We start from the raw sequence: 26301 nt of genomic DNA, 5'->3' as shown, positions 1-26301 counted from the left end.
AGATCTTCTCAGCTTTCCACATTTCTACCTGAAGATTCAGATTTTCTTGAGCCTACTAAGTCAATTATTTGTCCTTCTCTGTAGCATCTGTACTTCTAAATTTTTATCTTCTACTGTCTTGTTCTTTATCCTTTGGGTTTATGGCATTGTCTTGGTTTTTTATTTACTTACTTATTTTTAGATATGGGTCTCACTCTTTTGTCCAGGTTGGAGTGTACTGGCATGATTATAGCTTACTGCAACCTTCAACTCCTAGGCTCAAACAATCCTCCTGTCTCAGTCTCCCAAGTAACCTGGACTGTGGGTGCATGCCACAATGCCTGGCTAATTTTTAATTTTTGTAGAGACAGAATCTTGCTATATTCTCCAGGCTGGTCACAAACTCTTGGCTTTAACCTTCTGCCTCAGCCTCTGGAGTTTCTAGAATTACAGGTGTGAGCCACCACAACTGGGTCTTGTTTTGTTTTAGTCCCTCTATTGCTTTTTTTTTCCAGTAGGGTTTGAATCGGAATAGAGGTAAATGTGTTTGCTTAAATCTTCCTTCTTTAACTGTATTTCAGTCTTTTTCTATGTATATAGTTATCTATGTGCTTTGTTTTTTCCCCAAAATAGGATTTTACTTTATTGGTTTAACCAATTTTATGCTTATATTATGAATTGTTTTTCATATTTTAAAACTTTTTTTCACAACATGAATGAATGCCTACTAGTCCATTGGCTGCATATAGTTGAGTGCAAATTAGAAATACTAAAATACTGTACGTGTAATATGAGCTTTGAGGAAATAATGACTAATGGTAGGACAGGATGAAATTATGGAGCGTTATATTTGATGAGAGCCGAATGGATGATTACATCTTTCCTTTGTCCTTTTGAACATTAAAAAAAACCCTTTTTCTTTCAGGTGCTGTGTGATGTGTTAAGAGCATATTAGAAGGAATGGTTTTGTCTAATTTTCTTCATGAGTTATGGTGGCTGAGACATCGAGTCTATATTTTGGGGCAAAAACTGTAAGTAAACCTCAAGGAATACACTGATTTTCAACTATTCTATGCTTATGTAAGACAAGTTATTGATTATTCATAGGAATATACTTGGGATACTTCGTTCTGTTAGCCTTAAGTGTACTGATTAGATACTTCAAAAGGAGGAGTTAGATTTTCCTTAAATCAAGGTTATTTCTGTGTAGTATTAGCATTGACATATTTCATGGATTGTACAAAACTTTATTTTTGTTTTTTAATTTTTCAGAAACGGCAGCACAAAAGGAAATCTATATTAATAGAATATTTTGTTGAACAAAGGAGGTTAGATAAGAACTGCAAACCAACAGACTCAGCAAACAAGGAAAGAAACGTGTTAGCCATAAGACATGTTTCAAGTGAATCGAAGTCCAATAACTGTAGACTTCAGAAGAAAAAAGTTTTCAAAAATTTTATCAAAACAGGTCACTGATAAATAACTCCTCCAGTAATAGAGCTAGGCCTGAAACCAAAATTAATTAAAAAATTAACAAAACAGATTGAACCTGAATTAAATTTCTTTTGATAAAAAAACTTATTAAAAATAATCAAAATTTTCCTCAAATTTTTATTACCTTGTCCAAAGTAAAGCAAGTGTCTTTTAGCATTCATGCCAGCTTTTCTCATGTTCTAGGAATGACAGAAACCTTACTTGAAGCAAACTAGTATTTTTGTTGAAAATGTATATCAGCATCAGTTAAAGTTGATTTTTCAGACCTGCTCCTCAGTAATAATACTAGCTAGTCAGCATTCACGCCTACCAGGACACAAAAATCCTCTTCAAAACTACTCAGAAAAGAAAGTCATTACTCAGGAATGATGTCCATTCAGGAGAAATCAAAAGAGAATTCCTCCAAAGTTACTAAAAAAAGTGACGATAAGAATTCAGAAACAGAAATTCAGGATTCTCAAAAGAATCTAGCAAAAAAATCAGGTCCAAAGGAGACTATAAAATCACAGGCTAAATCTTCCAGTGAAAGTAAAATAAATCAGCCAGAATTGGAAACACGCATGAGTACAAGGTCATCAAAGGCAGCATCTAATGATAAAGCTACTAAATCCATTAATAAAAATACGGTGACTGTGAGGGGATATTCACAAGAATCTACAAAAAAGAAATTATCTCAGAAAAAATTAGTACATGAAAACCCTAAAGCAAATGAACAGCTTAACCGGAGATCACAAAGGCTACAACAATTAACAGAGGTTTCAAGAAGGTCGTTACGCAGTAGAGAAATTCAGGGTCAAGTTCAAGCAGTTAAACAGAGTTTGCCACCAACTAAAAAAGAGCAGTGTAGCAGTACTCAGAGTAAATCTAATAAAACAAGTCAAAAACATGTGAAGAGAAAAGTACTGGAAGTAAAGTCTGACTCTAAAGAAGATGAAAATCTAGTAATTAATGAAGTAATAAATTCTCCCAAAGGGAAAAAACGCAAGGTAGAACATCAGACAGCTTGTGCTTGTAGTTCTCAATGCACGCAAGGATCTGAAAAGTGTCCTCAGAAGACTACTAGAAGAGACGAAACGAAACCTGTGCCTGTAACTTCTGAGGTGAAAAGATCAAAAATGGCTACTTCAGTGGTCCCGAAAAAGAATGAGATGAAGAAGTCGGTTCATACACAAGTGAATACTAACACAACACTCCCAAAAAGTCCACAGCCATCAGTGCCTGAACAAAGTGATAATGAGCTGGAGCAAGCAGGAAAGAGCAAACGAGGTAGTATTCTCCAGCTCTGTGAAGAAATTGCTGGTGAAATTGAGTCAGATAATGTAGAGGTAAAAAAGGAATCTTCACAAATGGAAAGTGTAAAGGAAGAAAAGCCCACAGAAATAAAATTGGAAGAGACCAGTGTTGAAAGACAAATACTTCATCAGAAGGAAACAAATCAGGATGTGCAATGTAATCGTTTTTTCCCAAGTAGAAAAACAAAGCCTGTGAAATGTATACTAAATGGAATAAACAGCTCAGCCAAGAAGAACTCCAACTGGACTAAAATTAAACTCTCAAAATTTAACTCTGTGCAGCACAATAAGTTGGACTCTCAAGTTTCCCCTAAATTAGGCTTATTACGAACCAGTTTTTCACCACCAGCTTTAGAAATGCATCATCCAGTGACTCAAAGTACGTTTTTAGGGACAAAGCTACATGATAGAAATATAACTTGCCAGCAGGAAAAAATGAAAGAAATTAATTCTGAAGAAGTGAAAATTAATGATATTACAGTAGAAATTAATAAAACCACAGAAAGGGCTCCTGAAAATTGTCATTTGGCCAATGAGATAAAACCTTCTGACCCACCATTGGATAATCAGATGAAACATTCTTTTGATTCAGCATCAAATAAGGTAATCTGTTTTTATTATGCACAATAGAGGTGCCGAAATATTTTCTGTAAGAAATGTCTTTATAACATTTTAGCATAAGAATGAAGTCATAAAAGATTGAAGAGTTGTTTAAGTTCTCCTGTTAAGTTGTTAGCGAGAGTTTTATTAACCCAGTCTTGTGATAGAACTTCAGATGTCTCACATTTACTTGGGGTGCTTCTCATTGTTTCCTCATTTTTACTCTTCATTTTTATTTTATGTAAGCATAAGCCGGTTGAATTCCAGCTTTTCTTTTAAATTTAACACACTGATTTTCTGTTAATTATAACCATAGAAAGTACGTTTCTTAGGGACTACTTTTTTTTTTTTTGAGATGGAGTTTCGCCCTTGTTCCCCAAGCTGGCATGCAATGGCACAATCTCAGCTCACTGCATCCTCCGCCTCCCAGGTTCAAGCCATTCTCTAGCCTCAGCCTCCCGAGTAGCTGGGATTACAGGCATGCATCACCATGCCTGGCTGATTTTGTATTTTTAGTAGAGACGGGGTTTCTCCATGTTGATCAGGCTGGTCTCGAACTCCCGACCTCAGGTAATCCATCCACCTCGGCCTCCCAAAGTGCTGGGATTACAGGCGTGAGCCACTGCACCTGGCCTTTAGGGACTACTTTTGACCTAAATATTAAAATTAATTTCAACTAGGACTAATCAGCCTTTTTTCCTACTGGATATAATTTAAAAGTTAAACATTTTTAAGGAGATGACCTTTGTGGCCATTTTGAATAGTTGGCAAGTAGAATGTCTGTCTGAGAGGTATAAATAATTCAGTCTTCAGCCTAAGAATAAAATTGTAGTGGCCAAGACTCTGAAATGGAAAAGTAAACTGAAAACCAGAATCTTGTATCTGGAATAAATTTTGATTACCTAAGAAAGTAGTTTTAAATTTTATGAAAGCAGCTGAGCCCTTTTCTTTCTAAAGTAAATTATATGTAGACTACTAATATATAAAACCAATAAGCAGAAATTTTATATGCATAGAACCCTGGAACTCTAACATAGATCAAACTGATTTATTTGTACTGTTTAATTTTATAATAAGAAAACTTGGAGTGGAATGTGATTTAGGCAACACGTTTGGTGGCACAAATAGAATTAGAATCCAGGTGTTCTAATTCTTAGCCCAGCATTCTTTCTAAAACAACATACTCTGAACATTAGAAATCATTTGAGCAAAAAAAGTAATCATGAATAGAGAAAAAAGTCAAGTCATTTCAAAGTTTTGCAAGTGATTTAAAGTTCTCTTTTGAGACATTTTGTCTAGGAGCAAATGTGAGTGCATTAGGAGTCTGGGCTTTATTCCAGAAGCCATGAAAATAGATCAGTGTCTATTATTTTTCTTAAAGGGAGAAGACACCATATTGTACTCTCAGATTTTATTTTCTATATAGACAGGAATGCAAGCATCAATTAAAAGATGATTGTTCAGAGAGATTTTACCAGTCAGTGATAGTAATTAGAAATAAGTAGTGAGTTGTAGTATGAGTAATAAGTTGTGGCTTTGTGCAGAGATGTAGTGGCTTTTTATTCAGGATTGTGTCTCCAGATGTAGTTGGAGAGTGTGTCTTCTAATTGCTTGCTGCATAAATGCCTGTCAAAACTCAGAAGGCAGTTTATGGAGAGTATATTGATGGATATGAAATCTAATTCATTCCTTTGTACTAAACTGTACTTGAATGAAGATGTTTATGTAGACCACATTATTTTGACCTTTGATAACATTGCTTTTACTGAAAGATACTTTGAATTTATGCAGCCCCTCTGTTTGGAGGAACATTATAAGAAACCATCCTGCCAGGCGTGGTGGCTCATGCCTTTAATCCCAGGACTTTTGGGAGGCTGAGGCAGTTGGATCACCTGAGGTCAGGAGTTCGAGACCAGCTTGGACAGCATGGTGAAACCCCATCTCTTCTAAAAATACAAGAAATTAGCTGGGTGTGGTGGTGCACACCTGTAATCCCAGCTACTCAGGAGGCTGAGGTGGAAGAATCATTTGAACCTGGGAGGCGGAGGCTGCAGTGAGCCAAGATCACGCCACTGTACTCCAGCCTGGGTGACAGAGTGAAAGTCTGTCTTCAAAAAAAAAATATCCTAAGAAACTTGTTGCTATGTTAAAAATCTTACGGTTTGAAATTCTGGAATATTGCAAACATTTAGAATATAGCAGAGATGAACATTACTCTCATATGTCTACCACCCAGATTTGACAAAAGTTAACATTTAAAAAAAATTACTGAAAATCCTTTAAAGTTACAAAAGGTACATTACAGGTGTAGATGAAGACTGCAACTCTTTTTTTTTTTTTTGAGATGAAGTCTCACTCTGTCACCCCGGCTGGAGTGCAGTGGTGCATCTCGGCTCACTGCAGGCTCCGCCTCCTGGGTTCACGCCATTCTCCTGCCTCAGCCTCCTGAGTAGCTGAGACTACAGGCGCCTGCCACCACGCCCGGCTAATTTTTTGTGTTTTTAGTAGAGACGGGGTTTCACCCGTTGGCCAGGATGGTCTCGATCTCCTGACCTCCTGATCCTCCCAACTCGGCCTCCCAAAGTGCTGGGATTACAGGTGTGAGCCACCACGCCTGGCCGAAGACTGCAACTCTTTATTCCATTTACCCATCTCCCTATAGTTAAAATGTGCTCCTAAAGTGGATGTGGATCTTTTCAGTTTTTATTTCTGTGATTTTATGTGTATATAAATTCATAAAGAATACTTAGCTTTGTTTGTGTTTCAGTGTTTTACAAAAATACTAGCACATATATTTTTGTAACTTGGCTTTGTGTAATCAACATTATATTTGATACTTATTGATACCTGAGTATTTTTAAAACTATGGGAATATACAACAAGTTTATCTTTTCTTCTATGAAAAGACTTTCACCTTGGGCCAGGCACAGTGGCTCATGCCTGTAATCCCAGCATTTTGTGAGGTTGAGGTGGGAGGATCTCTTGAGCCCAGGAGTTTTAGACAAGTTTGAGCAACATAGTGAGACTCCCTCTCTACAAAATAATTTAAAAATTAGCTAGGAGTGGTAATGTGTGCCTGTGGTCCCAGCTACTTGGGAGGCTGAGGCGGGAGGACCTCTTGAGCCCAGGAGGTTGAGGCTGCAGTGAGCTGTGATCATTTCACTGCATTCCAGCCTGGGTGACAGAGTGAGACTCTATCTCAAAAGAAAAAGAAGACTTTCACCTTTCAGATTGTTTCCAATTATTTTTCACTAATCTCAACATTTTGACCACTGTCACAGAGTGATCAGGAAATGTGGTGGTGACCATATTGGTTCAGGACATATTTGAGTGCCTGCTGTATTCAAGGTGCTGTGCTGTGCTAGGACCATAGAACATGGATAGGTTTCCTGCCCTTAAGAAGTTTCCATTTCCATTTCCCTGAGATAGCCACTGTTGATGGAGTTTGGAGTATTTTTTTCTTTTTTGAGACGGAGTCTTGCTCTGTCGCCAGGCTGGAGTGCAGTGGTGTGATCTTGGCTCACTGCAACCTCCGCCTCCCGGGTTCAAGTGATTTCTCCTGCCTTAGCCTCGTGAGTAACTGGGACCGCCACCACACCCAGCTAAGTGCAATGGCATGATCTCGATCACTGCAACCTCTGCCTCTTGGGTTCAAGTGATTCTCTTGCCTCTGCCTCCCAAGTAGCTGGGATTACAGGTGCCTGCCACCACACCCAGCTAATTTTTGTTTTTTAGTAGAGACGGGGTTTCACCATCTTGGTGAGGCTGGCCTGGAACTCCTGACCTCAGGTGATCGGCCTGCTTGGGCCTCCCAAAGTGCTGGGATTACAGGCGTGAGCCACCATGCCCGGCCTCACGCCCAGCTAATTTTTTTGTATTTTTGGTAGAGACAGGGTTTCACTGTGTTGGCCAGGATGGTCTTGATCCCTTGACCTCATGATCCACCCGCCTCAGCCTCCCAAAAGTTCTGGGATTACAGGCGTGAGCCACCACGCCCCGCCTGAAGTATTTTCTTTTGTTATTTACTAATTGAGTATCTGCTTTGGCAAGGTTCTGAATTAGAGGCTATTAGGAATAAAAAGGTAAATATAATATGGTTGTTGCTTTTAAGCTTTATAGGTAAGTCAGACACAAATAACTGATTGAAAATAAAAAGTGATAAGCACACGAAAGAGATTTAGACAAAGTAGATGAAGAACAGCTAGAGAAGATTGGGAAAGGCTTTATGGAAGAGGAGCAATGAGTGGAATTTATATAGGGGGAAAGGTATTCTGGATCAGCACTATCCAGTAGGAATATAAGTGAGCCACATATGTGATTTAAAATTACCTGGTAGCCACATTAATGGAGTAAAGAGAAATAGATAAAATTAATTTTAATATCTTTTATTTAACCTGTCTTTTTTTTTTTTTTTGAGATGGAGTCTAGCTTTGTCACCTAGGCTGGAGTGCAGTGGCACTATCCTGGCTCACTGCAACCTCCGCCTCCCAGGTTTAAGTGATTCTCCTGCCTCAGCCTCCCGAGTAGCTGGGATTACAGGTGCTTGCCATCACGCCCAGCTAATTTTTGTATTTTTAGTAGAGACGAGGTTTCACTGTGTTGGTCAGGCTGGTCTTGAACTCCTGACCTCAAGTGATCCGCCCGTCTCGGCCTCCCAAAGTGCTGGGATTACAGGCATTAGCCACTGTGCCCGGCTGGGTGCTTAAGTTCAAAATCTGGTGTGATTTATGCTTTCAACACATTTCAAGTGATACCACATTTTAAGTGCACTCACTAGTTAGATGTGGGAGTGATGACCATATTGGACATTATAGTCTAGACAGACGAAACTTGGAAAAAAGGTATAGAGCCAGGAAACTATTGAATATATCTGTGGAAGAGATATTTCCTTTTTTTTGAGATAGGGTGTCACTATGTTGTCCAGGCTGGCTTCAAACCCCTGGGCTTAAGTGATCCTCCCCTTTTAGTGAGGCTTCTGAGTAGCTGAGACAACAGGCATGCACTGCTGTACCCTGCTTGTTTTTAAATTTAGCATGAAGGGTAATAATGGGCCCTGATGGTGAGAGGGTAGCTTGTAGCAAGATCATGGGGAGACTTCATGTCTGTATTAATTGCTCCAAATAAAAAGTATGTTAAATTTTTTTAGTATGCTAAAATTTACTGAAAGTTTATTTAGATAAAACCCAAAGTTGATGTAAAAATTTTGAATTATATGTGTTCAGAATTTCAGCCAATGTTTGGAATCCAAGCTAGAAAACAGTCCAGTGGAAAATGTTACTGCTGCTTCGACTCTGCTCAGTCAAGCAAAAATTGATACAGGAGAGAATAAATTTCCAGGTAATACTTTGGAAATATTATTTGGATTTCATAGTCTTCAGTGACATTTTTGTCAGTATTACAGAAAATGTTATATACCAAATAGGGTTGTTAAATTCTTTTTAACCATTGCTGTATTTTTCAAATATGTGATTATCATGACTATCACCCATGCTTTCAGAATTACTTCTGTTGATTGGTTTGTTTAAAGTACCTAAGTACTACCCTTTGACTCCCTACCAAAAGTTCTTTTGTTTTTTAAACAACTTTTATTTGTGACTTACTTTCTTGAGAAGTGTTCTTAATGAATTGCATAAAATAGTGGTAGCAGCTTATTTCTTAAGTACTTTATTATTTGTGCTTTACCATTTCAGGTTCTTATCTTTAACCCTTATTTACTCAGTTTTCCATCTGAATGATCCTATCTCTAAATTAAGGATTTAATAAATGCTGCAAATTGTCCACTTTGCAAATTGTCCAAAAGCTTTAGTTTTGGAACCTTGTGAACTTTTTTTTTTTTAATAACACATTATTTGGGCCGGTCGTGGTGGCTCAAGCCTGTAATCGCAGCACTTTGGAATGCCTAGGCAGACAGATCACTTAAGGCCTGGAGTTCGAGACCAGCCTGGCCAATGTGGTGAGACCTCCGTTTCTATTTACTAAAAATACTAAAAAAATTAGCAAGGCATGGTGGTGCACGCCTGTAATCTCAGCTACTTGAGAGGCAGAGTCAGGAGAATTGCTTGAACCTGGGAGGCAGAGATGAGCCAAGATTGCACCACTGCATTCCACCCTGGGTGACAGAGTGAGAATCTGTCTCAAAAACCAAAAAACCAAAAGAAAAAAAAATTATTTGAACTGTTGGATGAGGATTTGGTCACTTATATTGGATGAGACAGCAGAGGGTATAGAAAAGAAATCTCTTAATTCCTGTTGTTTCTCTGCTAAAGGAAAGGTATACATGGAGCAAAATGTTGAGTTCGGATAATCATTGACATGATTTAACTTTTTCTCTGAGTTGGGGAAGAGAGAATGTAATATAAATATGAGAAATGCATTTATTCATTAGAAAATAAAATGAATTGCTTATTGCCTTTATTATTCTGACTAAAATTCCAGAGACCATTTTTTTTTTTTTTTTGAGGCAGAGCCTTGCTCTGTCCTCCAGGCTGGGGTGCAGTGGCGCGATCTCAGCTCACTGCCACCTCTGCCTCCCAGGTTCGAGCAGTTCTCCTGCCTCAGCCTCCTGGGCAGCTGGGATTACAGGCACACATCACCACACCCGGCTTATTTTGTATTTTTAGTAGAGACAGGGTTTCCCTATGTTGGCCAGGCTGGTCTCGAACTCCTGACCTCAGGTGATCCGCCTGCCTTGCCCTCCCAAAGTGCTGGGATTACAGATGTGAGGCCACCATGCCCGGCGTCTTTTATTTTTATTTTTTTAAACAAGAAAATGTTTTCATTTGTTTCTACTTAGAGATTATATAATTATGCAGGCATTGAAACAATTTCCTTATTATTCAGTCCTAATAATTGCTGGTTAAATTAGAGGCAAGCTAATCTACCATTACAGCTCTTTGCAGCTTTGTAGTCTGAGTATGAGACAGCCTTTCTGCCTTTTGTCTGAAGAATGGTATCTAGGAAGAAGGTTCTAATTTTATCAGATGGTCTTTATTAAAAATAAGTCATTTAATGCATTGAAGGTTTTTTTCTTTATGTATAATGATTTTATCCATTAGATGGAAAACTAGTATAAAACTCAATATATAACCCACCTTCTTGATTAAATTACAGGTTCAGCTCCCCAACAGCATAGTATTCTCAGTAACCAGACATCTAAAAGCAGTGATAACAGGTAAGCTATTAATTAAATTTTAGAGCTTAAGGATTTTAACTTACAAGTTTTGAGTTTAGGGGATTCTTCCCTAAAAAGTTATGCTAGTAACCCTCAGTTTACCTACAGATTCTCTTTTCATTACAGCTTTTTCTATGCCTATACATACTGTTTACTATGGACATTTTTTCTACCCTACTACCTCATTCTTTATTTCTTTATTTATTTATTTTTTAGAGTTGAGGTCTTGCTCACTTACCCAGGCTGGAGTGCAGTGGCACAATCACTGCAGCCTTGAACTCCTGGGCTCAAGTGATCCTTCTGCCTCAGCCTCCCATGTAGCTAGGACTATAGTGTGGCACCATACCTGGATAATTAAAAAAAATTCTTTTTTTAGAGAGAAGGTCTTGCTATGCTGCTCAGGCTGGTCTCGAACTCCTGGCCTCAAGTGATTCTCCCACCTCGGCCTCTCAAATCTCTGGGATTATAGGTGTGAGCCACAGTATCTGGCAGCTACCTTATTCTTCTAAATTCTGCATTAAATTTCATTGTGTGACTTTACCGTGGTTTAACAGTTCTATGCTTTATGAACATTTTGGATATTTCTGGTTCATTTCTATCCAGAAAAGACAAATCCTATGTTAAACACATGTATCTTTGCTTACTTGTGTGTCTGTATCTCATAGCTATAGAACTTATCCCGCATTGTCAGACTTTCCTCCAAAGTGGTTGGCCTGTCTCAATAGTGTTTGAGAATGCCCTTTTCCCTAGACTTCTAGAAATACTAGGTATTAGCAACATGTAAGAGTGTTTAAGTAAGATTAAAAGCTTTTTGTTTTCTTTTTAATGTCAGAATTAAATAGATCTGACTTATTTTGCCTTTTGGATTAACAACAAACAGTATTTAGTACAAATTGGAATGACTTAGATAGCTAAAACTATAAAACTTAAAAGCATATTCAAACTGTGGTAAGTGTTGCCTTTTTTTTACTGAAAATTAGTTTTTGTTTTTTTACTGAAAATTAGTTTTTGTTTTTTTACTGAAAATTAGTAATTTTCTTTCCCCCTTTATTTTTATTATTATTATTTTTTGAGACGGAGTCTCGCTCTGTCGCCAGGCTGGAGTGCAGTGGCGTGATTTCGGCTCACCGCAACCTCCGCCTCCCAGGTTCAAGCAATTCTCCTGCCTCAGCCTCCTGAGTAGCTAGGACTACAGGCACACGCTGCCACACCTGGCTAATTTTTATTTTATTTATTTATTTTTATTTTAGTAGAAACGGGGTTTCACCGTGTTGCCCAGGCTGGTCGCGATCTCCTGAGCTCAGGCAATCTGCCTGCCTTGGCCTCTCAAAGTGCTGGGATTTTATAGGCATGAGCCACCATGCCAGGCCTGCTCCTTGATTTTTAAAAGGTTTTTCTCCCTCTCTTGAAGCTGAAATTTATCAGCGTTGTGTAGAAAATAAGTTATTTTTGCCGGGCGCGGTGGCTCACGCCTGTAATCCCAGCACTTTGGGAGGCTGAGGCAGGCGGATCACGAGGTCAGGAGATCGAGACCATCCTGGCTAACATGGTGAAACCCCGTCTCTACTAAAAATACAAAAAAAAAAAATTAGCTGGGCGTGGTGGCTGGCACCTGTAGTCCCAGCTACTCAGGAGGCTGAGGCAGGAGAATGGCATGAACCCAGGAGGCAAAGTTTGCAGTGAGCCAAGATTGCGCCACTGCACTCCAGCCTGGGCGACAGAGTGAGACTTCGTCTCAAAAAAAAAAAGAAAATAAGTTATTTTTTCCCCTTCAAATGATGTGAAATGACTTGGATCTGTAACATTTAGTAATTTTATTTTTTTTAAGGGAGACACCACGAAATCATTCTTTGCCTAAGTGTAATTCCCATTTGGAGATAACAATTCCAAAGGACTTGAAACTAAAAGAAGCAGAGAAAACTGATGAAAAACAGTTGATTATAGTAAGTACACAACTTGACCATTTTGGTGAATTGTTGTTAGAACCATCTTAGTATATTTCATGTTGCTATAATACGATATCTGAGGTTGGTAATTTTTATAGAAAAGAGGTTTATTTGGCTTGTGGTTCTATGGCCTGACATCTGCATCTGGTGAGGGTGGCAGATTGCTTCAACTTATGGAGGAAAGCAGAAAGGGAGTGAGCTCATGTGCAGAGAGACCACGTGGTAAGGGAGGAAGCAAGAGAGAGAAACCAAGGAAGCCAGACTCTTTTTTTTTTTTTTTAACCCTGCTCACCCCAGCAGGAGGGCATTTGAGGGCATTAACCTATTTGTGCGGGATTCACCTCTAAGACGCAAACATATCTCACTAAGCCCCACCTCCAAACACTGTCACATTGGACATCAAATTTCCCCATAAATTTTGGTGGAGACAAATCAAATCATATCAAAATCATAGCAGCATTGTATTTATGCAAGGTTTTAAAGAATAAATTCATTCACTTTTGCCAAAGAGCCTTTTTGTCATAATAAATTTTAGTATGAAAAATGTTCCCAGGCCAGGTGCAGTGGCTCATGCCTATAATCCCAGCACTTTGGGAGGCCAAGGTGGGTGGATCACCTGAGGTCGGGAGTTTGAGACCAGCCTGGCCAGCATGGTGAAATCCTGTCTCTACTAAAAATGCAAAAATTAGCCAGGCGTGGTGGCAGATGCCTGTAATCCCAGCTACTTAGGAATCTGAGGCAGGAGAGTCGCATGAACCTGGCAGGCAGAGGTTGCAGTGAGCTGAGATGGTGCCATTGCACTCCAGCCTGGGCAACAGAGCGAGACTCTGTCTCAGAAAAATATTCCTGGTGTTATTACAACCCCCTTCTTAAATAGTGACTTTGTCTTGTAACAGTAATTGTTTTCATACTTCTAGTTTTATAACAAATTGTGATACTTTATTTCACATCTGTTACTTTCTTAGATTTGTCATTTGATCACTACCTCCTTTCAGTAGTTGATTTAAATGTTAAAATAACATGGAACTTGTCCAGGTGCAGTGGCTCACGCCTGTAATTCCAGCACTTTGGGAGGCCGAAATGGGCGGATCACCTGAGGGTGGGAGTTCAAGACCAGCCTGACCAACACCGAGAAAGCCCATCTCTACTAAAAATACAAAATTAGCTGGGCGTGGTGATTCGTTCCTATAATCCCAGCTGCTCGGGAGGCTAAAACAGGAGAATCCCTTGAACTCGGAAGGTGGAGGTTTCGGTGAGCTGAGATCATGCCATTGCACTCCAGCCTGGACAACAAGAGCGATACTCCATCTCAAAAAAAAAAAAAATAATAACATGGAACTTAATGTATAAAATGATTTTGAATATCTATATTGCAGAATACATTATTATTTTAAAGTTACATTTTAAATTACAGGAAGATAAATTGGAAAACAGGAGATATTTTGATTGATTAAAAATCTAACTTGAATGAGTGAATATAAAAAAATTAAGGCACCCAAAGTACTAGGAACATTTATGTAGTTACAGTCAACATAATCAGTAGGATTTTTTTTTTTTTAAGATAGGGTCTCATGCTGTCACCCAGGCTAGAGTGCAATGGTGTGATCACAGCTCACTTGCAGCCTCAACCTCCCAGCCTCAAGTGATCCTCTCACCTCAGCCTGCTGAATAGCTGGGACTAACAGACATGCGTCACCACACACAGCTAATTGTTAATTTTTTTTTTTTTTTTGTAAGACGGAGTCACCCAGGCTGGAGTGCAGTGGCACAATCTTGGCTCACTGCAACCTCTGCTTCCCAGGTTCAAGTGATTCTCCTGCCTCAGCCTCCCTAGTAGCTGGGTTTACAGGCACGCACCACCGTGCCTGGCTATTTGTTGTATTTTTAGTAGAGATGGGGTTTCACCATGTTGGCTAGGCTGGTCTTGAACTCCTGACCTCGTGATCCAGAGTGCTGGGATTACAAGCGTGAGCCACCTCAGGTGGCCCCCCAGACTTTTAAGACATTAAAAAATGGAATGGATTGGGTGCGGTGGCTCATGCCTGTAATCCTAGCACTTTGGGAGGCCGAGGCAGGTGGATCACCTGATGTCAGGAGTTTGAGACCAGCCTGGCCAACATGGCAAAACCCGGTCTCTATTAAAAGATATAAAAATTAGCTGGGCATGTTGGTGGGTGCCTGTAATCCCGTCTACTCAGGAGGCTGAGGCAGGAGAATCGCTTGAACCCAGGAGTGGGAGGTTGCAGTGAGCCAAGATGGCGCCACTGCACTCCAGCCTCGGTGACAGAGCAAGACTCTGTCTCAAATTAAATATAAAAATAAAAAAGAGTCTACCTGGGTGCAGTGGCTCACACCTGTAATCCTAGCACTTTAGGAGGCCGAGGCAGGAGGATCGCTTGAGCTCAGTTCTAGACCAGCCTGGGCAACATGGTAAAATTCTCTCTCTGCAAAAAATATAAAAATTAGCCAGGTGGCGAGGCGTGGTGGCTCATGCCTGTAATCCTAGCACTTTAGGAGGCCAAGGCAGGTGGATCACCTGAGGTCAGGAGTTCAAGACCAACCTGGTCAACATGGTGAAACCCCATCTTTACTAAAAATACAAAGAATTAGTCCAGTGCAATGGCACGCTCTTGTAATCCCAGCTACTTGGGAGGCTGAGGCAGGAGAATTGCTTGAACCTGGGAGGCAGAGGTTGCAGGAGCCAAGATCATGCCACTGCACTCCAGCCTGGGTGACAGAGCGGGACCTTGTCTCAAAACAAAAACAAACAAAAATTAGCCAGACATGGTGGCACATCCCTGTAGTCCCAGCCTGGGTGACACAGTGAGACCGTGAGACCCTGTATCAAAAAAACTTTTTCCTCTACACACTAGTAGTATAATTATTGCAAATACGAAATATATATTAGTTCTCATTCATAGAGTATTTCCTATTTGGGGCTTTAGGACTAAGTTTGTAATATTAAAGCTATTTGTCAGTTTTTAAAAAATTGTTATATGCCGTGGATCAGGTTACTAAAATGGAAACATTTCCTAGTAAAATTACATGCAGATTTCAGATTAACGTGTTATTTTTAGTAATTAACATTGAATGTTATTCATGTAGATTAAACAATTCTTACTTTATGCTCACACTATAGCCTTAGAGGCTGATATTCTGAAATAATTCTTTTGGGAGGAAAAAAACTTTTGTGTGTTTTTTGTAAATAGGATGCAGGACAAAAAAGATTTGGAGCAGTTTCTTGTAATGTTTGTGGAATGCTGTATACAGCTTCAAATCCAGAAGATGAAACACAGCATCTGCTTTTCCACAACCAGTTTATAAGTGCTGTTAAATATGTGGTAAGTGGAATTTGTGAATTCTAAAATGCAAAAATCAGATAATTAGGTCGGTCTCTTAATGAGATGAGTTGCCAAATTTAAATCACTGAAAAATTTATGTTTTTAAGAGATAATAATATGTACAAAGCACGTGTAGTATGTATACTGGCTTTTTAAAAACAAAGCCAAACATAAAAACCAGCTAATTTATTCTGACTGGTTTATGTTGTGGGATTTTGAATTTAAATTTTACTTTTCTAAAGTAGTGATTGTACTTGTCAGAAGTAATGCTATTTAACTTGTATGTTTTTTAATAAAATTCCTTTGATTTCAATAATTATTTACTATTGATAAATCTATTTAATATTTACATTTCTTGGCACAGTTTTATATTGGAGATTGATCGTGATAGGTATTATACCAAGTAGGTTGTTTGGAGATTTCCTTTACCTTCTCTTTGTTATCATGAGGGTTTTTCTTTATAAGATTAAAAAAGAAAAATTCTAGAAAATTAAGACCTCAGAATTTGTAGTATACTAAAAAAAAAAAAAAAATTCCCACAGAGTAAATCTGTTTTAGTACAAAATATATTTTTTAATGGAAGTGCATTTTAGGCATAATGGGTATTATTTAATATTTGTGGAAATAGCAAAATTTTTTTAGCAATATTGAACCATTTCAGATATCTTGTGAAAATAGTAATTTAATTGAATTGCTGTTTACCCATATCTGAAATGGAATCTCTTTTTATTGTATACATGTTACCTTCAGTACTGTACACTCACGTTAATAAGACCTCCAGGATATCTGAACTGAGATCACCAATTCATTTCATATAAATCTTTATATAGGTACCAGATACTAGATTATTTAAAGGTCTTTATTGGCCTCCGTTAAATTCATATGCTTGTATTAATACTTACCTTCGGTTGAAGGGTTTGTATTCATTGTTTCATTCATCCAGCTACTTCTACCCAGGATAGGGTGAGTTTTTACTTTTTTGGTTCTCTACCTGTGGTCATCCTTTATATTTCTTATTTCATCTGACTTCTCCACACACTCTCTCCTACCACTTCACCAAATATAAGGTGCGTGGACATAGAATATCTATAGCTGGATATTGTTTTATCATTTGAAATTTGTACTTTTTCAATTTGACTATGTTAATATCCTTGCATTGTGAAAAGAAAAATAGTTCTCTCAGGTAGCTAAATTATAGAATACTTCTAGGACAAAAATAGTTCAGTATATTTTATATACAAACCTCGTAGAGGAAGTTAGTTCAAGTAAATTCTACTCAGTGTACATTATTCAATTCTGGTGATCATTTAGTTTCCTAAAATTATAAAAACATTTTATTTCAAAGTCTTAATTCTTCACCTTAAGGAAAATTCTTAATTTCTGAGAGGAAAAGTAAATAAATCAATCAGGAAATATCTGCTCTACTCTTCCAAGATGTCAAGGGAAGTTGATTTATGGAACAAGGTGGAGTCATCATCTTCCAAACACATTCTGGCTCTCTTGCAAAGCTGCAAAGCAATGTAGCAACCTAGGGAAGATTATTTCCTGCCCCAGCCAGACCCCTCCTCCAACCCCCCCTTGATGGGACAGAGCCATGGGTTATTTTTTTCATTTTTGAAATAAGCTCAAGAGAAGGAATTGAGTTTAGCAGTTGGCCATTCTTTGCTGTTATCAAGGTCGACATTCTTATCTTTTGCTGTTTTCAAATGTAGGTATACACAGAGTCTAAGGAAGAGACTCTTCCAAAACATTGTGGTATTCTATAGTGTATGGAGAGAAGAAGAAAACGTACCTATCTTAAAGCTGTTCTGCTATGATCACTGTTCTAGATTTTGGGTTGTGACTTTAAAACATTTATTGGGCTTTTCATTTTATGCCTTTCATAGACATTAAGTACTCACAAATGCTTGACAAAATATCTTAATTTTATTTAATGCCAATTTTATCTGTTAGGTTTGTCTGTTGGTGAGAAGTATATAGAAGAAGTCATATGGTACTCTGGTGTTAATTCATGTTAAATGGACAGTATCAGGAAGTGGAAATAAAGTTTTGTTCTACTTAAGACTAAAAATAGAATAAATTAGAAACAACTAGTTTTACTTAAAACAAGTTTTTTTTTTTTTTTTTTTTTTGAGGCAGAGTCTTGCTGTGTCACCCAGGCTGGAGTGCAGTGGTGCAATCTTGGCTCACTGCCTCCTCCACCTCCTGGGTTCAAGCAGTTCTCCTGTCAGCCTCCCAAGTAGCTGAGACTACAGGTGCATGCCACCACTCCCAGCTAATTTTTGTATTTTTAGTAGAGATGGAGTTTCACTGTATTGGTCAGGCTGGTCTTGAACTCCTGACCTCAGGTGATCCACCCACCTTGGCCTCCCAAAATGTTGGGATTACAGGCATGAACTACTACGCTTGGCCAAAATTTTAATCAAACATTCTGTAGAAAATATGATAAATACCTTTTTCTTTGGGTAAAAATTTTTTCTAGGCAGATTAATAATCTGATAACAATTGGAAATGGCTAAAAGTCGTATTTTCAAAAGGTTAAAATAAAAGGTAGAAAATACAGTAAGAAAATTTTTTCTTACTGTATTCTTTCATTTTACCCCATCTGCTTGGCTGACACCATTTGGGGAAATGAATTTTATTTGACTTATTAGAAACTAGGAAGCAGCTGAGGCAACATGTGGAACCCCATCTGTACAAAAAAAGTTAGCTGGGCGTGGTGGCATGCGCCTGTAGTCCCAGTTTCTTGGTGGGGCTGAGGTGGGAGGATCGCTTGAGCTCAGGAGGTTGGCTTGAGCCCAGGAGGTTAAGGTGAGCCAAGATTGCATCACTGCCTGCGTGACAGAGCAGGACCCTGTTTCAAAAAAAAAAAAAACCCCAAAAAACAAAAAAGCCAAAAAACTATTTAGGAAGAAACCTCTTAATGCTTTCAGGTGGAGCCTGGACTCTGGTTTAGACCTAGGAAACTACTTCAGTTTCCTTCCAGAACTAAGGTACTGTTCCCTAAAGATGTGAAGAGAAAGCACGAGTTCTCTCCCCTGGCATACATATTGAGCCACGTTGCAAGGCCAGGAAACTGCCAGAAACCTATCAGGAACCTATCAGGAACTCAGCTATATTTTGAGCTTTTAGTAATGCCAAAGAACAATGTATGTGTTCTTGGCTGAGAAAAACTCAATCCTTTTTTCCTGTATTATCCTTCTTAACTCCTTTGAATTAATTCACATCTGAGTGAATGTTGTGTGGAGAGCACTACTCTCAGGGCTATGCCCTTTCCTTCAAGTTTAGGAACAAAGGCTGAAAGAAATGAAAAGTTAATAAAAGATCTAAGAAACTATTAAAGCAATAAATCAATATTAAATATTTAAATAAATCATACATTAGCTTTGCAACTTAGAAGTGGTCAGAATGGTTTGTTTTCATAGACAGGAAAGAGTTAAGATTTGATTTTTAAAATGAACATAGATAGTCATCTATGATTGGTAACAGTACAACTAAAGAGAAAGCTTAACATTTTTGTGAGGAATAATGAGTAGATCCTTTTTATTGAATCAGGATTTTTGTGGATAATGAGACTAGAAAAATACAATCAAGTCAAATTGTGATACTTTGATTTTGAAAGCTATATGGACTTTATTCTTTCTGTTCTTTTAAGTTTTGAAGAATCTCGAATATTTTGAATGATAAAAATTTAAATAACATTAAAACAATATTTTGATGAAGTGTAGGGAGAGAAGTAATATTTCAATGGCATATATAGACAGTAGTATACATATTAGGCATGTATAGTGCTGAATTACTATGACGTTGGTAGAAATAGGAAAGAACATTGATGAGAAACTTTGAAGAAAGAGTCGACAATACCGGTCAGTGGCTCATGCCTGTAATCCCAGCACTTTGGGATGCCGAGGGGGTGGATCACTTGAGATCAGGAGATCAAGACTAACCTGACCGACATGGTGAAACCCCATCACTAGTAAAAATACAAAAATCAGTTGGGTGTGGTGGCACGCGCCTGTAATCCCAGCTACTCAGGAGGCTGAGGCAGGAGAATCGCTTGAGCCTGGGAGGCGGAGGTTGCAGTGAGCCGAGATCGTGCCACTGTACTGCAGCCTGGGCAGCATAGCGAGACTCCATCTCAAGGGGAAAAAAAAAAAGAGTTGACAGATCTCTGATTGGCTACAGAGCTGTGCTGTCCTGTGAAGTAGCCACTAGGCTACATGAAATTAAAAATACTGTTCTTCGGTCGTACTATCCAGTGCTTAAAAGCCACACATTGCTAGATGCTACTGTGTTAGGTGGTATATAGAATGTTTGCATCATCACACAGAACGTTCTCTTGGATAGTGCTGCTACAGAAAGTTGAGGAAAGAAGTTACATGTGATTAAATTTTTGATTTAGGGAAACCATGTTCCAGTAACTCTTGCTTAATCTTTATTTTTTTATGTGAAATTTGAGTGCATATAATTTAATTATGTATACTTTATTCCTTTTCAAGATTGTTAGGAAAAAGAGGAAACTGGGCATTAGAGAAAAGAGAAGTGAATAGTAGTAGAGCAGGATTAGAGATTTTTTTTCTGATTTTTAAATTTTATTTTTATTTTGAGTCAGGATCTTACTCTGTTGTTCAGACCAGAGTGCAGTGGCACAGTTATAGCTCACTGTAGCCTCAAACTCCTGGGCTCCAGCAATCCTCCCACCTCAGCCTCCTGAGTATCTGGCACTAAGTTGTGTGCCACCATGCCTGGCTAATTTTTGTATTTTTTGTAGAGACAGAGTTTCACCATGTTGCCCAGACTGGTCTTGAACTCCTGAGCTCAAGCTATCTGCCTACCTTGAGTTCCCAAAGTGCTGGGATTATAGGTGTGATCCACTGCGCCCACCCTGTTTTATTTTTTGAGACAGGGTTTTGCTGTGTTGCCCAGGCTGGAATGCAGTGGCGCAATCATAGCTCATTGTAACCTCAAACTCCTGGGCTCAATCTTTCTTAGCCTCCTGTGTAGCTAGAACTATAGGCACAGGCCACCAGGCCTGGCTAATTTTTCTTTTTCCTTTTGGGACAGTGTCTCGCTCTGTCACCTAGGGTGTAGTGCAGTGGCACAATCATGGCTTACTGCAGTCTCAACCTCCTGGGCTCAAGCTATCTTCCTGCCTCACCATCCTGAGCAGCTGCCACTACAGGCGAGTGCCACCACACCTGGCTAATTTTTAAGTTTTTTGTAGAGATGGGGTTTTGTTTTGTTGCCCAGGGTGCTGACTTTATGGGTGTAAGCCACCATGCCTGGCCTAGACCTGTTTTAGATCCACAACAAAATTGAGCAGGTAGTACAGAGAGTTCCCATATACTCCTTAATTCCACACGTGTATAGCCTCCCTCACTGTCAACATCCCTTATCATAGTTGTACATTTGTTATAACTGGTGAACCTACACTGACACATCATTATTTCCCAGAATCCATGTTTCATATTAGGATTTTCTTGTATATTCTGTGGGTTTTGAGAAATGTATAATGACATGTATTCACCATTATGATATCATATAGAATAGTTGCACTGTGCTAAAAATTCTGCTTTGCTTATTTATCCCTTCTTCCTACCTTAACCCCTGCCAACCACTGTTCTTTTTAATGTCTCCATAGTTTTACCTTTTCTAGAATGTCAGAGTTGGAATAATATAGTATGTAGCCTTTTCTGATGGGCTTTTTTCACTTAGTAATATGCACTTAAACATCTCCCATGTCTTTATTTAGTTAGTTAGTTTGAGACGAAGTCTTGCTCTGTCACACAGGCTGGAGTGCAGTGGCGTGATCTCTGCTCACTGCAACCTCCGTTTCCCGGGTTCAAGCAATTCTCCTGCCTCAACCTCCGGAGTAGCTGGGACTACAGGCGTGTGTCGCCACACCTGGCTAATTTTTTTATTTTTTATTTTATTTTATTTATTTATTTTTTGAGACGGAGCCTCACTCTGTCCCCCAGGCCAGAGTGCAGTGGCATGATCTCTGCTCACTGAAACCTCCGCCTCTCGGGTTCAAGCGATTCTCTGCCTCAGCCTCCTAAGTAGCTGTGACTGCAGTTGTGCACCACCACTCCTGGCTAAGTTTTGTATTTTTAGTAGAGATGGGGTTTCACTGTGTTGGCCAGACTAGTTTTGAACTTCTGACCTCAAATGATCTGCCCCCTCCGTCTCCCAAAGTGCCGAGATTCCAGGTGTGAGCCACCACGCCTTGCCTAATTTTTTATTTTTATTTTTTTAGTAGAGATGGAGTTTCACCATGGTGGCCAGGCTGGTCTTGAACTCCTGACCTCAAGTGATCCACCCGCCTCGGGCTCCCAAAGTGTTGGCATTATAGGCATGAGCCACTGAGCTGGGCTCCCATGTCTTTTTATGGCTTTGAAAGCCCGTTTCTTTTTAGCGCTGTGTGATATTCCATTGTCTGGATGTTTCACAGTTTATCCATTCACCTACTGCAGGATGTCTTGGTTGCTTCAAAGTTTGGCAATTATGAGTAAAGCTGCTGTGTATAGGTTTTTGTGAGGACGTGTTTTCAGCTCTTTTTGGTAAATACCAAGACGCTTGATTGCTGGATCGTATGGTAAGAGTGTGTTTAGTTTTGTAAGAAACTGCCAGACTCTATTCCAAAGTTGCTGTATTCTTTTGCATTTCTATCTGCAATTAATGACAGTTTGCCTTGCTTCATGTCCTCACCAGCATTTGGTGTTATCAGTGTTCTGGATTTTGGCCTTTCTAATAGGCTTGTAGTGGTATGTTACTGTTTTAATTTGCATTTCCCTATTAATACATGATATGGAATATCTTTTCATGTGTTTATTTTCCATTTGTATATCTTCTTAGGTGAGGTCCTTTGCCCATTTTTTATTTTATTTATTTTAATTTTAATTTTTCAATCAGGCTGTTTTCTTATTGAGTTTTAAGAGTTCTTTGTATATTTTGGGTAACGGTTTTTTTTGTGTGTTTGTGTTTTTTTTTTTTTTTGACAGAGTTTCCTTCTTGTTGCCCAGGCTGGAGTGCAGTGAGTGGCGCAACAATCTCGGCTCACTGCAACCTCCACCTCTCGGGTTCAAGCGATTTTCCTGCCTCAGCCTCCCGAGTAGCTGGGATTGCCGGCATGCGCCACCATGCCCAGCTAATTTTGTATTTTTAGTAGAGACAGGGTTTCTCCATGTTGGTCAGGCTGGTCTCGAACTCCCGACCTCAGGTGATCCGCCCGCCTCAGCCTTCCAAAGTGCTGGGATTACAGGCATAAGCCACTGTGTCCAGCCAGGTAACAGTTTTTTAATCATTTACTTCTTTTGTAAGTATTTTTTTCCAGCCTGTGGCTTGTCTTCTCATTCTCTTAACAGTATCTTTTTCAAAAAAAATTTTTTTTTTTTTTTTTTTTTTTTTTTAATAAAAATAGAAATGGAGTGTTGCGGTGTCATCTTAGCTTATTTCGAACTCTGGGTGCAAGTGATCCACCTGCCTTGGCATCCCAAAGTGCTGGATTACAAGCAAGAGCCACCGTGCCCAGTCCAAAAAATACTTTTAATTATACACTTTTTCTTTTGTGAGACAAGGTTGTGCTCTGTCACTCAGGCTGGAGTGCAGTGGTGTGATCACTGCTCACTCTATCCTTGACCTCCTGGGCTCAAGCAATCCTCCTATCTTAGCCTTCCTAGTAGCTGGGACCACAGGGGTACACCACCGTGCTTGACTAATTTTTTAATTTTTTGTAGAGTTGAGGTTTCCCTATATTGCCCAGCTTGGTCACAAACTCCTGAGCTCAATCAGTTCTCTTGCCTCTGCCTCCCAATGTGTTGGGATTACAGGTGGGAGCCACCATGCCTGGCCAACAGTATCTTTTAAAAAGCAGACATTTTAAATTTTAATGAAGTCCAGTTGATCAGTTATTTCTTTCATGAATTGTGCCTTTGGTATACTTAAAATGTCATTGCCATACCCAAGGTCATCTAGTTTTTCTCCTATGTTACTTATATTTCTGCATTTTATGTTTAGATCCATTTTGAGTTAATTTTTGTGAGAGATGCAAGGTCTGTGTTTAGATTACTTTTACATGTAGATGTCCAGTTCAGCACCATTTGTTGAAAGGCTGTCTTTTCTCCATTATATTGCCTTTTCTCTTATATCAAAGATCAGTTGACTTTTTATATGAGTCTGTTTCCGGGTTCTCTGTCCTGTTTCATTGATCTGTTGTTTCACCAGTACCACTGTATTAGTCCGTTCTCACGCTGCTATAAAGAACTGCCTGAGACTGGGTAATTTATAAAGGAGAGAGGTTTAATTAACTCACAGTTCTGCATGGCTAGGAAGGCCTTAGGAAACTTACAATTGTTGCAGAAAGGGAAGCAGATTTGTCCTTCTTCACATGGTGTCAGGAGAGAGAAGTGCCGAGCAAACGGGGAAAACCCCCTTATAAAACCATCAGATTTTGTGAGAACTCACTGTCACAAGAACAGCAGCATGGGGGTAACTACCCCCATGAGTCAATTACCTCCCACTGGGTTGCTCCCATGACACGTGGGGATTATGGAAACTATAATTCAAGATGAGATTTGGGTGGGGACACAGCCAAACCATATCAACCACACTGTCTTGATAACTAGCCTTATAGTAAGTTTTGAAATTGGGTAGTGTCAGTCCTCCAACTTTGTTGTTCTTCAATTTTGTGTTGGCTATTCTAAGTCTTTTCCCTCTCAATACAAACTTTATAACTAGTTTGTCAATATCTACAAAATAGCTTGCTGGGATCTTTATTAGGATTGCATTGAATCTGTAGATTAAATCAGGAAGAACTGACCTTTTGACAATATTGAGTCTTCCTATCTGGTTTTGTAAATTTTTATTGTACACTGGAGATTGTGTGTAAAGGAAAAGTAGAGACTGAAGTAGATAGTATCCTTTCCCTTACCCATGAGTGCTTTCTCTTTTCTTTTGTCTTAACTGTGGTGAGGGGCTGATTGCTTTGATCTAATTAGAAATTGAATTGGGTCAGGTCAGAGTTGGGTTTGAAACTGTAGTTTTCTGTTCTGGTATTAGGTGTCTCTCTCCAGCTGAGATTGGGGATCTAAGCTCCACACGACACTAGAACTCTCTATACCTTCCAGCCCAACTGCAGTTGTCCCATGGGAGAGAATTGGTAGATAATTATTGCTGTATTTGGAGTTTCTTCAGATTTCAGACTGCCATGTCAGGCCACGTAATTCTGGTTGGTTTCTCTTTGTTCCAGCAAGAGACTCTTCTCCTTGTCCTCTGTCTGTGGCAGGCTTGCTTGTTCACTCATGCTTCCAGACTTGGTCAACATCTTATGGTTAAAAATGGCTACTTGTGTCTGCTCACTTAGGAAGGGCTGGTTCATCTCTGAAGATCAGTTCATTTAGACATTGAGTTTCTTTTTTTTTTCTTTTTTTGAGACGGAGTCTCGCTCTGTTGCCCAGGCTGGAGTGCAGTGGCACAATCTCGGCTCACTACAAGCTCCGCCTCCCAGGTTCCTACAGGTGCCGCCACTACGCCTGGCTAATTTTTTGTATTTTTAGTAGAGACAGGGTTTCTCTGTGTTAGCCAGGATGGTATCGATCTCCTGACCTCGTGATCTGTCCGCCTCGGCCTCCCAAAGTGCTGGGATTACAGGCATGAGCCACTGCGCCCGGCCTGGACATTGTGTTTCTATACATTTTCAGTGTCTTTTAAAAAAACATGCTTTTTGTTTTCTTTTTTTTTTTTTTTTTGAGACAGAGTTTTGCTCTTGCAGCCCAGGCTGGAGTGCAGTGGCGTGATCTCGGCTCACTGCAAGCTCTACCTCCCGGGTTCATGCCATTCTCCTGCCTCAGCCTCCCAAGTAGCTGGGACTACAGGCTCCTGCCACCATGCCCGGCTAATTTTTTGTATTTTTAGTAGAGGCGGGGTTTCACCATGTTAGCCAGGATGGTCTTGATTTCCTGACCTCGTGATCCGCCCATCTCGGCCTCCGAAAGTACTGGGATTACAGGCGTGAGCCACCACGCCCGGCCAACACGTGCTTTTTCATTTATTGGGTGTTTTCTTATTACAACAGTTACAGTGATCTTTTGTGACCTCCTTTATCCTAAATGGGAGCAGAACTCCCAGAGATGTACATTGTGATAACATTTTTCAGTAATAGACTTGTTGGCTTTGTTTAATTTTGGCTGTAGAGGTGGAGTGGAATTTGGACCATGAGTCTTTTAAAGTCATAAGCAATACCGATGAACTCAATGTGTTTGCTAAGTCCAAATGACCTTTGAGATGAGATTTACATCAAATAAAGTATTTCTTACATACTGGGATATTGTTGCTACCTATTGAAAAGTGCTTAAAATGTGAATCCTAATAAAGAGATTTTTAGGATTCTTTAATATTTGAAGACAGAAGAGAAAAAAGTATCATAATTCTTCCCATTTGACTTTTTATTGGGTCTGACCCAGGCATATCTTATGAGAAAT

The 26301-nt window shown here is 39.3% G+C and overlaps 1 protein-coding gene across 5 annotated transcripts in view; it reads left to right on the top strand.

The window, feature by feature from the left end:
- ESCO1 (establishment of sister chromatid cohesion N-acetyltransferase 1) overlaps positions 1-26301 on the top strand; it is a 71421-nt gene that overhangs the window by 24023 nt on the left and 21097 nt on the right. For all 5 annotated transcript variants that reach the window (XM_011525799.4, NM_052911.3, XM_047437285.1 and 2 more), the window contains exons 3-8: positions 905-1010; positions 1252-3368; positions 8588-8702; positions 10476-10536; positions 12365-12479; positions 15692-15823. In XM_011525799.4, the coding sequence (XP_011524101.1) occupies positions 1839-3368; positions 8588-8702; positions 10476-10536; positions 12365-12479; positions 15692-15823 (1953 nt within the window). In that variant the 5' untranslated portion in view covers positions 905-1010; positions 1252-1838. The remainder of the gene's footprint in view (positions 1-904; positions 1011-1251; positions 3369-8587; positions 8703-10475; positions 10537-12364; positions 12480-15691; positions 15824-26301) is intronic.

The sequence above is a fragment of the Homo sapiens genome, chromosome 18 (assembly GCF_000001405.40).
Source record: "Homo sapiens chromosome 18, GRCh38.p14 Primary Assembly".
NCBI lineage: Eukaryota > Metazoa > Chordata > Mammalia > Primates > Hominidae > Homo > Homo sapiens.
This window is presented reverse-complemented; position numbering and strand designations above follow the sequence as displayed.